At 33.6% G+C, this 13836-nt stretch overlaps 2 protein-coding genes across 26 annotated transcripts in view, besides 2 other annotated features; one reads left to right on the top strand and one right to left on the bottom strand.

The window, feature by feature from the left end:
• The window catches only part of IMMP2L (inner mitochondrial membrane peptidase subunit 2), an 899849-nt gene that overhangs the window by 431468 nt on the left and 454545 nt on the right, over window positions 1-13836 (bottom strand). The gene's annotated exons all lie outside the window — the stretch shown is intronic.
• LRRN3 (leucine rich repeat neuronal 3) overlaps window positions 1-13836 on the top strand; it is a 34328-nt gene that overhangs the window by 2985 nt on the left and 17507 nt on the right. The window contains exons 2-3 of one of the 3 annotated variants that reach the window (NM_001099660.2): window positions 2916-3022; window positions 5770-5851. The exons of 1 other annotated variant lie outside the window; for it this stretch is intronic. The gene's annotated coding sequence lies outside the window, so the exon portion shown is untranslated. The remainder of the gene's footprint in view (window positions 1-2915; window positions 3023-5769; window positions 5852-13836) is intronic. One more of the 3 variants, NM_001099658.2, reaches the window with a different exon arrangement.
• Window positions 2680-3607: an enhancer, noted in NCBI's record as "OCT4-NANOG hESC enhancer chr7:110736847-110737774 (GRCh37/hg19 assembly coordinates)". NCBI's record gives its function as "activates a minimal SCP1, AML or CMV promoter by ChIP-STARR-seq in naive H9 embryonic stem cells {active_cell/tissue: H9 hESC(naive)}" and the evidence as "EXISTENCE:reporter gene assay evidence [ECO:0000049][PMID:30033119]".
• Window positions 9873-9972: an enhancer, noted in NCBI's record as "active region_26505". NCBI's record gives its function as "activates an Ori minimal core promoter by ATAC-STARR-seq in GM12878 lymphoblastoid cells {active_cell/tissue: GM12878}" and the evidence as "EXISTENCE:reporter gene assay evidence [ECO:0000049][PMID:35858748]".

Here is a 13836-nt window from a genome sequence, read left to right on the forward strand (position 1 = left end):
GATGGGTTTGATGTTTCACTCCTCCCCCCGAATCTGAATTTTTTTGGGGTGTAACATTCCTGTGTAACATGGCACTATGGTATTTATTACAATCTAAGTTGATCAGAAAGCTCTATAACCGGAGTTTCGTTTTAAAAAAACACTTATGTAAGTTAAATGTTATTACTTAATTAGCAGCCCCTGAAAATGGGCAGAGGTGAGGTATCTGTTGGTGAATCTGAAGGAGATCATTAAAAGAAAGCTAATAGTAGACTAAAAAATGAGTTCCTACTTCTAGCCTCAGTAAGGATGCTCCTCTAAAATGATTTAAAATAATGTGGCTCCAGCCAGTCTGAAGAAACACTAGACATGTGTACAGCACACTAAAATGTTCCATGTAGACCTGGTTCTGAGAGTTTAGCTACTTATGTATCACTCTTTGGTACATGAAACTAAATAAAGCAGGTAAACTCTAGGCAAAACATCAGTACATCTTGTCAGTGCTGTCAAAGATAAAGCTCTCTGATATTGGCTATGCAATGAGTACTTAGGAAAGCTTCACTGTATAACAACTGAACATAGCTCCTGCACAGAGCTCAGGGAATTCCTCTCCTCTCCTTCTGATAAAGTGATGTATTGTTAGACATCTACGAAGTCACTAGTAAAACATGATAACAATTATTTCTTTAGCCACAATGTGAAAGGAAAGGAAGTCAAATTCTAATATAAAGACAGTAGCTGGTGCCAGAGGATGGGAAAAAGGAACAGGGATAAATCGGAACGTTTTTCTAACTTGTTGAAAGGAATGGAAGGTCTCAATAGATGCTATTTAGAGGTCATTAAATACAGGATTAACAAGGAAGACTTAATGTCCATCTCAAATCTTTCTGAAGAAGTACAGTACCTACAGGGCCATTTACTATATTTGCATAATTGTCAAGTTTGTATACACCTGCTTGCTATTATGTTAATTCATCTTTAGGCCATAATAAGGGAAGAATTTTCTATGGTGCCATTAATAAAAACACATGACACAGCTTCAGGAGACGGGGAATAAAGAGGGGAGACATGCTTTCATAGAATAAAATTTTTGAACTGAAAGAGACATTAGTAGCTAGTCTAATATGTTCATTTGATAGGTGAAAAACACTGAGGCTGAAAGGGTTTGAAATCGTTATAATGTAATACATTATACTTTGTATTCACCCAGCTATTTATTGGAGAGGCCTAGGTTAGAACCCCTTACAATACTTCCTCCAGAATTCCATTAAAATTCTGCCTCCTTGGTCTTTCAAAAATAATGTTTTCTCAAAAACCTCCTATGTGCAAAAAATCCCCCCAAATTCACAGATATGTACAAAAAAGAGAAATATTTATTCAGATAATCAAATATTCTAAAAGGAAAAGCCAATATTCAATAATAGAAGCAACGATTTATTAAGTATATAACACCCAAATATTTCAAACCCATAATTCATCATTTGAATATAGTTTACCATATTCTGTAAAGTCATAAAAATTAGAGTTTTGCCCTGTTTTTAAAACATGTTAATAATAATACTGCTATCCTTCACCTACAGAGACTCAGCTATTGATCATCCACTATAAGTTTTAAGGTTTTCCAAGAATTCTGAAGAGGCTTTCCACATCTGTTTTTACTTGGTTTCACTGTAAATAATTTAAGGCACTTAACATGTGCCCTTTTTTTATATACAGTGTCCACTCTCAGGATCCATGCTTTGCTTATACATCTCACTGGAAAACAATAAATATATTATCAGGACAGCAATCCCTCTCCCTCTCTCCCTCCCCTACCCCATCCCAACTTACTTTTTGATTTCTAGAGTCAGACTGAGAGCTCCAGTAGGCAATGATATCTCCTTAATATCACAATCCTATTCTTTTCTTTTGGGCAAATTTCTCTGTTTTTAAATGTGCTCTCCAAATTTTGCTTAACATAATAGTAATTAATTGACTCAACTTGTAAGAAGGATACAAAATATAAACACAATAATTGTGAATATTTGTTTAAAGCTCTACCATTTACAGAGCAATTTTTCAACAATTACTTTGCTCCTCACAACAATCTGGTGAAGTAGGGTAGATATGATGATGATTAACATCTTTAAGACAGGAGAATGAGGTTCTGTGAGGTTAGAGACTTGCTAGCATGTTGAGGTGCAAGGGTCTCTGACTCCAGAGAGTAGAAGAAAATATGGGTGCAGCACTGGTCCCTGGCATTTCTGAAGTTAGTAATAAATGTTAGTTCCCTTTTTATGGAACTTCCACTCTAGATCTTACCCTTCCAACAACTATGTCCTTTGTACCATACCACACTATATCTGGATAGATTCTTGCAAATTAAAATCTTTATTTCTTAATTTAAATCACAGCTATTGCTATGCCTGAGTTAAATTTAAAAAAAAAAAAACAAAACAAAACCCACAACCAACATCTATTCTTGGAGAAAAAGACTGTATGTTGTTCTACCTACTCATCCATATGTTTGTCTGACAGCATTAGCACTTTGATAAACAGACACTTGGCAAAGGTCTCAAAAACTGGAAAAAATGAGATGAGTAAATTATTTAGGGATTTTCCAGGTTACTAAAAATTATGAACAAAGTCTCCAAAGTCACTTAAGAACCCCCAATGGATCAAGTGTCAACATAAAAGCAACTTCCTTAGCATCTCCTTTCTGGTTTGTCTTGGGTTGAAAATGACACACTAAATAAGATAAAAATACTAGTTAATTTGAAAGTAAACTGGTATATTTGTAAACTACTAAAGTCAAAATGCCAGTAAACTTACATACATTATTCTGTGAGCCCTTTCTAGGGGAGATTGTGTCTGTCAAAAGTAATATAGACCTTAAAATGAATAAAAATCCCTTTAAAAAATCTTCTAAAGTTTGTCATTTCACGCTTTACTTCCAGGAGGTGAAGCATTCCACAGATAATCAGCTACTCTATTCAGGGAAGGAGTGTAAACATCACCACTTTTTGCATGTTTGCATAAAAAAGGCCCACTGAATCAGTTAAAGGTTAGTATCAATAGGCAACATTCTCTATTTCCAAAGGCCTGAAGCTCCTGGGATCTAATTCCCTGAGGAACAATGGAAGAGGCACTGTTTCCCAACTGGTACAAAACAGGACTTCAGGAACAGCAGAATGTGTTCTCCAGGGATTAAGCCCCCTAACGTGAAGCTTGGGACTCACAACACTTACAAGTGACATGAATAATAGTAGATATTTTAACTATAGAAGACATTTAAGAGACTTCGTTTTCACTGTGATAAACAGGTTTGATTTGGACTTATAACTTTTTTCTAAAATTATCAAATTAATAACGACTATAATGAAATAGAGGCAAATATTTTAGAGGATTCATTCCTTGGGGTAACATTTGTTCTATAATTTATAGTCTCATAATGTTGAGAGATTAAAGCATTTAAATAACATTGTCAACTAACTTTCAGCTTACCTTTCTTAAGGAAAAAAAACAAAAAAATGTTAAAAATAGACATGTATTTTTCAAACATACAATTCATGTTTTTATGTCATTAGACTGTTTACTGTATCGCTATATTTATATGCCTCTGAAATATGGAGTGTTAATGGGGTCTAAATTTAATTCTATTTTTATCAAAACTCAGTCACTCAGAAATACCAAACACTGAACATGTTCTACAAAAAGTATTCAACATCTGTAGAATACATGGAACCACAATGACCTTTACTGAAATTTCAATAGTTGCAGGAAATAATTTCAATATATATCTACACAGATTATATTTTGATTTCTACAAAGGCCAAGGGGTTAATGACCTTAAACTGCAGGTGCCCAAGGCATTGAGAACAAAAAAGATAGAGCAAGCGAAAAGAGAATTGTGTCTAGGTCACAATGCTGTAGCATTGAAAAGAAAGTGCAACAGAACAGAATGGAAAGAGCAAAACAAGGTGACTGCCATATATGAAAGATAAACATACTCTAAGAACATATAAACTTTGAAAGCTCTATTCACAGTCATTCTTGAATGAAAAATATATAAAATGCCATTATAAGATATAAACATCATCCAAGTCAATTTGTTGTGTGACTAGCTGAACTGACTCACTTACCAAACACATAGTTTATATTTGTTCCTCTTATTGTCATTTATTACTCACGTATTTTTTACACAAACACCACAGTTGTTGAAAGAGTTTCATAAGGTGATGTTCAGCTAACTTTTTAAAATCAGTGAGGCATTTTCCAAACCATTTCCTCAATCAATTACTTTTTAATGAGGAAGCAAAATTTATGTAAATATCAAAGTCTCATTTTTATATTTAGGCTATAAATTATACCATAATATGCTGCTGTTGGGCAAAATAATCAAAGTAATGATGAATTAAAACAAATGTTCTGACATAAATTAATGTAAGCAGAGCCCTTATACGTTCAAACCACATCATCTCTCTTAGACAATCCTTTACTGGCTAAAGGAATGGTAATAATACTGGCAGATCTCATTTACAACATACAAGCATTTTCTGTGCCAAACATTATGCTAAGCACTTAACATACATTTTCTCATTTAATCTTCATAACGACCGTACTAAGTAAGCGCTATGTTTAACCCATTTTACCAACGTGAAAAATAAGGCTTAGAGAAGAAAAGTAACTTGCCATAACTAATGAAGAACACGAAAAGGAACCTAGGTTAGTTAGCTCGAAAGAACAAGCCTTTGTGCATGAGGCAACACTGCCTCCCGTTGGTACTGCCTAAATATAGCTAGTTGATATCGCCTTCCAAGAGTCAGATTCTCTATCAAAATACAGTAACTCTGTTTCTAGTTTCATATCATGCATTCTGCTCATACTAGAATATTATACCTTTGTAGGATTCTTCTTTTCTTTCTGAGAAAGGAGTGATGCTTTAATTATTTATATCTGAGTTTTGCTATCCACTAGATTAACTAAAATGATTTTTTGTAGTTCAATTCACAGCTAGACCTGTGAACTGGCAGCTTATAACTTCCTCTATCATCATTTTTCCATCGAGTGGAAGTCAACATACTTCTTCACCTGAGGTCATGCAGTATAATAAGTGACACAAAAGAAAAATGCAAAACTTAGCTCATTGGTCTCAAATTTCATTATTTATAATAAGCTTTCCTTGTATCTAGTTCCAAATTTTAGACACTTTTTTCCCCTCATGCATTCTCTTTTAAATGATGAAGATGAAAATAGTCTGAATACAATTTCATTGCTACTATGAGCATCAATTTTCAATGAAATTCATCAATCTTCTTCAGTATGAATAAGCTGCTAGCCCTGCAAAGTTAATTGATGAAAGCTGTAATTTGCTTTTCAAACTGAGGATGCTGAGCCAAACCTAAAACTTTAGTAGAAGCGTTCTATATTAGCTGTTTGTAAAACTTCAGCATTTCTTGCTATGTCACCTCCTGAAAGGGCTATCAGGGGAGTCCTTCAACTTGACTGTCCTACAAAACAAAATCTGAATGTAAAATTAAAGCAAAAATGTTGCTGAGGATTCCTCCAGTGATTAAAAATGGAGTTTAGAGAGCTCACATCAACATACATTTTCTATTCAAAATGAAGTTTTTTTTTTGAAAGTTATAAGCAATTAGACAACTAAAAAAAGAAATTCAATTTTGAGGTGATAAAAGGTTAAAGTATTGTGAATCATGAATAACCTAACATGTAAGAAATAAAGAAGGACATGTATAATTTAAAATTAAACTTTTGGGGTTTTTTTCCTGCTACTTCTTACATACAACAAAGACGAGGAAGAGGAGGAGAAAGAGAAAGAAGAGGAAGATGTTGGGCAACATTTATTTAACATGCTCCACAGCCCGGACCCTGGGTAAGCTCTTTGTACAACTCACCTCATTTCACTTTGATTCCATGAGGGAACTGAGGCTTGAAATGGAGAAGCATTTGCCCAACTTCACTCATTGGAAAGGTCCTGATTTGAACCCTGAATGTCTGACTCTGAAGCCCATGTTATGGTGTCTTCCTTAGCATGTATTTCTTTTTTTTAAATTTCAATAGCTTTTTGGGAAACAGATGGTGTCTGGTTACATGAATAAATTATTTAGAGGTGATTTCTGAGATTTTGGTGCACCCATCACCCAAGCAGTGTACACTGTACCCAATGCCTTATCACATATTTCTTAGAATAAGCATAATATATTTATCCTTAGAGAAGCATTTGACTTTTTATGCAGAAGCATCTAACAACAGGCTCTTTCTACAGTTTTAAACTTCTCAGCCAAGATCAGGAGTATATATATATAATAATATGCTTAAACTTTATATATAATAAAATATATGTAATGAAAATATATATTAAAATATTTATAACATATACAGATTTAAAATAAATACAATAAGTGCATCAAACTTTACAGTTTTACCACATGGTACAACCTGATTAGTATAATATTATTTAATAAATAATATAATGATAATGAACACTTAATATAATTCAACTAATCTAAAAGTATTACTTGTGGATTTTCTACTTAAACATTCTTATTAATCTGTTGAAAATGCATAGAGCCAAAAGATAAAAATTTAGGCTCTGGCTGAACTGGATTAAGGTTTTTTTGTTTTTGTAATTTTAGAAGTGTAATGTATGTAAAAATATCATGGTTGAATTCCAGGAGGATTTATGAACATCTAAGATCTTTATCATTTCTTAGGGAATGGAAATCAGTAATGAAATAAGGAAAGTTTTATTGACCATAAATATCTTGCAAATTGAACAAGTAGAACAATGTTTTAACCTTATTCTTTCAGCCCTGAATGTTGCTCACCAGTTTTGAAAATATTTGAAAACTTTTAAATATCTTTCTATATTTTGTAAAGATGATGAACATTTATAAGTTTAAAATTCCCCCATAAAGAATTTTTCCTGTCCAGAATGGTAACTCCTCCTCCTTGATCACCACATTCTGCCTCCACACCTGCTAGCAGTATATCGAATTCTCAACCCCATTTAAGCATGGTGCTTTCTTTTCACATCATCATATTTAGTTTTTAAGCAATCTGCTGCTCTGGATTTTACTTGATATAGACTTTTATGTCTTTGAAAGAAGAAATATTCTAAGATAATATCTTACCACTTATTCATTTAGACATTTCATCTCATGGTCATTTAATCAATGACCATGATATAGATACATCCCTAGTCATTGAACAGAACCTTGGCATACTGATAAGCGATAATGTCTATAAGATACAACAAGCAGAATCATATATTCGTGTCTGTGATGATGTACTACCAAACTCACTTGGGTACTTTTAATGTATGATCTCAGAATCTGTGAGAGTAACACCTAAGAATCCATACTTATTTTCTGCACAAAGTTACAGAATTATTGGGTTAAGATTCAAGTCTTTTTCTTTTGTCCACTGTCTACCATTTTTGTTGTAGATTTAGTAAAAAAAAAAATTACTTGAGACAATCGTTCGAATTAATACAGAATATACATAGGTACAACAGGTACAATAGGTATACTGTCTTGTATATTTCCTGTGAAATATACAAGAAAAATAAAGGTTCAATAGGTATATTGTCTTGTGTCTTCCCTGAGAAGACTGAGAAGAGGGTATAGCTAAATGAGTTAGGGGTTTGATTTTAAGGGACCTGACTGGGACATTCAAAGTAAATAGTCTCAGTTAATATGTAATAATGTAAGGCTGTGGTAAACATAGTTCCTATCTCTACTGCCCCCAATCTAAAAAGGTATACCATCCACAGTCATTTCTTGGCAGTCAGGTGATATCTGTAGAGTACTAGGTTATGTATCCTTAGGAGAAACATCTACCAAAAATGGACAAAACTCTTCTGCCCACATGTTCATGAACTCTAATTTTCATACACTATATCTCACTCCATATGGAACTCAAATGAGGGCCATGCAGAAACTGCCGCCAATATGATTAATGAGTGAACTCTACACTGCCTGTCAATTTCTTTAAAAAAAAAAAATGAGTCAGAATATAACAAAATCCCTATATTGGGATAGATTTTACAGATTTTAGGTCACTTGTTCAAAGTGACTTACAGACATAATTAGAACCAAAACCAGGTGATTCAATCCTTACCCAGTGGGTATTTCATAGCACATTGACTATGATTATAGTTTTAAAAAGTTTGGACCATATGCTCCTGTCAAATCATTCTTTTTTTTAATGCATCATGATGACCAAAACTTCCCAAACTCAACCCTATAGAGAAACTCAGCAGTGCCTTATCTGTGAAGGGCCCATATTTGTGGAACCTCTTAGCTGCTGGAGTTTAGCAGAAGCACAATTCACTGTCATCCAGTCAGTTTTCAAGATGTCTCTTTAGATTGTCATTTTATTGACAGTAATGTGTTGCTGCTGCTTTACATCAAACATGTTAATTACTTGAGTCTGGAGTTTTGAATTTTTGCCCTAAAGTGATTTTAGCTGAAGCATTATTTTGTTTTGTTTAAATCAGTCAAATAAAAGAGAGAGAGAAAAATTACTAAATGGAAGCCCACAAGTATAATAAAAGAATGGAAACCACAGAAATAGCAAGTTTGAAGTTTCATACCTATCTAAAAAATAAATAGAATAATCCAGCTTCTTCGTGCTATTCTATTAGAAACTTCCACTACTCTGGGACATTCCATCTCAAATTTAAAAAGCTCCGAAACCATTCTTCACTAATCCTCTTTGCTAGGGTCATAAAAGACTTCATAATATGTATAAAATAATTACAATCTTTGAAATTATAAATCTCATTGTAAACTTATTTTTTTAAACGTTAATTAAAACCCCAATGTCCCAATTTCCCCTTAAAAGACCATATAGTATAGGACAATGAGCACTCAAGCCCTTGAGTTGCTAAAATTTAAAAATTGCTGACAATAACATGGTCTTTTTTAAGACTACAGTGTCCATTGATCATAGTGACTTCACAGTTTTCATTTCTCTCTTATTTGTACTCTAATTAGCATTTTGCGTGAGTACTAATGAATGTTGTTAAATTTTAACAATATCTATTAGACTTTGTTTCCTGCAAAATGTAACTATATCTCAAGAAATAACAACTGCATTACTCCATCATCTCAAAAAACCTGTATTAGCATTTCTGCAGATTTATGGTTAATAATTGTACTTCTTTATCTCTATCTATTCCGTTGCCAACAAGCATACACGTATACATTTACACTTTCACACACAGACCAATATTGGATTTTTTCAAATATTTGCCAACTGCTAATAGTTTTTACCAGTTTATAAATATTTAACTAAGTCTAGCCACACTGATTTGCACCTGCTTTCCAAGGATTTTTTCTTCTTCTAAGACATGTCATATAACTAACATGGTAAATAGCGTGATACATTTTTAGAATTATTTTCACAGAAATAACCAGAAAAATATCGATTAGGCAAGTAAAATTCTACAACCTTTTATGATAATCAGAGCCAAATGACATTTAAGTAGTTCTATTTTGTTCTGTCATTTCTCCTGTTCCAATATTTTCACCTGTAAGTTTAAGTTACAGCAAATTCTAATGAGTTCTTATCCGTATGATGACTTCTTAATATGATAGTGATTAACATTTAGTAACCACTCTGTATGTGTCGGGTGCAGAAGAACTTTTTTATACTATGAACTTTTAACGCATTATTTTATTTAATTTTCACAACATTCCTTTCAAGTAGGTACCATTATCACTCACCTTTCAGTAGATGAGGAAACAATGACATGGCAGCAGCACAGAAAGAACGAGAGTCCATGCCTGATCCCTTAATGACTAGGCTGCTTCTATTGAACACCATTTTGAGAGTACCAGAGAGCAAAATAAGGCATTTGTATTGGCAATTCAAGAAATTTTAGGGTTAAATGTGGAACAAAATGGGAACACTGAAAAGTGGTACTCCTGTAATATGTGTGTGAAATGAAAAGTTACATTTTCATTTTCACTTCCCCAGCATAACAACTCTTCATATCTCTGAGTTTGGGCCTATATTCAGGCAACTTTTTTGAAAGGCAAATTTGCTGGAGGATACCTTCCTTCATTCATGCATGCACATACCTGCCTTTACTATTCGCATCTTGAGCCAATTTTGCAGAGTTGGAAATGATGAAACTCCAGGTAGGGGAGAGACAAAAGTCATATGATTTTCCTTCTCCCACTCCCTCTGTGTCCCAATTTCCTGTAAATGTTTACTTCTGTAATCCACAGTTCAAATTTATTGTAGAGAATGAAACAATTTCTTTTGTTATCTGCTTTAGATTTACCAAACTCTACATTTTGTTCTAGAAATTGTTCTCACTTCTGTTGATAATGCTCCATGTTTATATATTTTGATATGATGTCACTTTAGTAACTAATACCATCACTTCTATTGAAGCTGATATCAATTTTTTAAAAGGCTGAGGGGACATTATATGTGAAACTACTTAGTATGGTTGCCAGCAATAGTTGTAAATCATGCTAAATAACAGAAAAGTCTCATCATTAATCCCCCTATCTAGTCTTTTTGATTCGGGGAGCAAATGCTAAAGAAAAATTTTTAAATGTGGAGAAAAGGAAAATTAATAGCAGGGATGAAAAGTGTGAAGGACTTGTCACAAGCGATGAGATGTTAATGTATTCACAATAAGCTGTAAGCTACACTTCCTATCAAATTAAAAATATGCATAGAAATACCCAGCCTCGCATCTCATTGGAAGCAGGGCAAAATCTATTTAGAACGAGAGGGTCATGGCTTCTAGAACAGTGGGGAAGACAGAAAAAGAAAGCAGAGAGAAGGGGACAGTCTCTCACACAAAAGAGGAAGAAAAACAAAAAGAAGAGATGGGGAGTTCCAAATATAATGGCTGTTACAAGTGATTTGAGTCTAAAATGTGAATCTACTTGCCAGAATGCAAAGAGCAGAGAGGCATGACCATAGAATTCCAGAAGCTCCCAGTCCAGAGCTATTTCCTATTTCCTTACTAAAGGTCTCATTGAGACAAAAATATATTCTTAACTCTGTAGACTGTAAATATGTGTTTTCAAATAAAATAACCACAAAACCTTTGAAGTGCCCTTTAAAAATTAATTTGATTCTTCTTCATGAAATAAAGAATTCTTATGTCAATAGGCTGAAAAATTACAAAACAGATGTCAAATAACCTTCATTTTGCAACAACCTTCTATGAATCTGACATCTAGTTATTTCAGTTAACATCATGTATAAAACTCAGAAACTCCGAAATTATGCATCCAAAGAATGGAATACTAATTCATGACAGCATGTTGAAAAGAGCAGATAGAACAATACACCACAACAGTACATAAATTGACCAAATGAGACTGCATACGTTACCATCTTCCATGACAACAGAAACTTACTGACGGACAATTTACATCTGGTTTGCTCCCTTATTCTGCAAATCACAAAAATGGGTTGCTGTAGCAACTGCCACATGCAATTTAGCTGGCTGGGGGGAAAACACCCTTAGAGTACTTTCTAAGAAACAAATACAACATGTATTTTTGTTGTTCCTCCTATCCTAAATTGAACAAATCTCCTGACAGGTCTATTTTCCCATAGCTTTAAAAATGGGCTTGCTCTCTGTTGTTTGCATTTGTATTATGTGTACTAACAATTTATGCAAAAGGTGAAAAGAAAAAAAAATCCATAAAAATATAAAAGAAATAGATAGAGATGCCTATATCTAGTCACATGAATGTGATAGGGCCATTGTCTTTTATAGCATCCCCACTTTTTATCACTGACAGCTCTTTTAGCCAGTTTAACTCCACTGATGTATGTATCAAATCTACGCATGACACTCCCAGGAATACACAACATCTCAATTCCTAATGCACCAGCAAGGGCAAGCTTATTTTTCTGAATCAGAAACAAGAGCAAGTACAAATAATAGGCAGTTAATTTTCTTAGAAACATATTTGTAATATCACAGTAACACATAACATAGTCTTTTTCCAAGGATACAGCAGAGGACCTTAGAACATATAATACCAACATTGGTGCACATTGGAGCAGACAAATTAGCACCTACATGCTAAATAAAATGGGAGGAATACTCATCCTTTACCTACTTACTTCTCAATTGGGAACTAAGAGAAGAAGCAAAGTACCTGGAACACTCAAAGCCCTGAATGTGGAACAATTGAAGCACAAGTCATTGTTCTCCTTATTTAATGGCAAGTTTGACAACTTTTCAAACTCTACAGACATTGGTCTGATGTGGGAAGGTCAACTTTTTTGAAGGATCTTAACTATCAGCCCTTGAAATAATAGAAATCTCTTCTCTCTGGAAACTCACTGGTTTTGAGAAACTCTCTAAGAAAAACAGTCCAATTAAAAACAAACAAATAAAATGAAAAACAGATATGTCTTCTACCATCACCATTTTTGCCATGTGGAAACTTCTCATGAACTTCTCACTGCCCCAGGCTTGAGTGAAAGGCTTGCTATTTTGAGGTGGAGACTCAAATAGGGCAAGAGTTGGTGAAGTATGGCTGCTAAGAGATGTGAGGGACTTATAAATAATATTAAGATAACAGGAATTAAAGTCTCGGTGTGTGAAAATACTGTATATCTAGGATGCACATAAAAACTGCCCTTACAGATCTTGCAGGGAAAAGTACCTGACTATACTGTATAAGACTTCTGCTGTACCATTTAATCATACCAAAAAAAATGGAATCAACACACAAATAGATTTCTTTTCCACTGTTCTCAATTTAAAAATAATTGGAGAAATGTGTGCTTTGTTTAGAAGAGTAAAGGAAAACATTCATTCAATAGTACCATGCAGAATGATTTGCTTAATAGCATTTCTAATATGTTATGCATGTATTCAATCTACTTCTTTCTATATTAAAATGCAAAAACAATTACTCTGGATGTAAATCCTAGAAAACAATCAAAGTTTCTATTAAATCAGAGAAGAGACAGTTAAGCTGCAATGTGATTTGCAGATGCTCATGAATAGACAATACTTAGAATCTCTCTCACTAGAATGTGAAAAAGATAGGTGGGAGAGATTCAGAAACTTCCTTCTTTCCCCTTTCCCTCTCTCTCCTTCCCTCCCTTCTTCCTTCTCTCTTTCCTCTCCCATTTTTACTTTCTTTTTAGACAGACTTTGAAGAAAAGTTTTTATATAAAGTCTAATAATTTAAATTATATGGGCATGTAAAATTGCCTTATATTACAACGCCAGCCCTACAGCAGGTAGAAAATTCCTTTCAACATTCTGTTGTAAACAGTTTAGATTCAACTGATCAGTCACAGGGGAATATGGGCAGTTTCAACCTCTTACCACCTTTGTCTCTAAAAAGAAATTCTGGATAGTTCTTTGTATACTTATATTAAAGCCATTTCTGTTCATTAAAAACTCAATATAAGCATGTTGAAGAAGGGGCAATGGAACATGAAGCAATGAATAAAAAGATTCTGTGCATGTATAACAAGCATTCTGTATTTTACTTTATCTGAATAGAATTTTAGAATCTACATGCTTTAATTGGGGCACTAGTAAAGTAATAATCTCAAATATGAAATACAATAGATGCGTTTCATGCTCTGATTAAATGTCAAGGCCACAGATTTGTTATTTCAGATCTAGTGAGTAATAATTTTGTTGGCTAATAATGAACTCCCAAAGATTTATTTGCAACATTTGGCTGTTGCAACATTTCAAAGCTCTTGGTCAAGCTGTAGTATTTCCAATTCTGCAGATAATATTATAGACTCTAGCATGCAAAGCTTAAACTTTTAAGTAAATTTTACTAGTTTCATGTGTGCTGCATAGATTTAGAGTTCTGCTGAAATTTTGCACCAAAA

Source organism: Homo sapiens, chromosome 7 (genome assembly GCF_000001405.40).
Source record: "Homo sapiens chromosome 7, GRCh38.p14 Primary Assembly".
Classification (NCBI taxonomy): domain Eukaryota; kingdom Metazoa; phylum Chordata; class Mammalia; order Primates; family Hominidae; genus Homo; species Homo sapiens.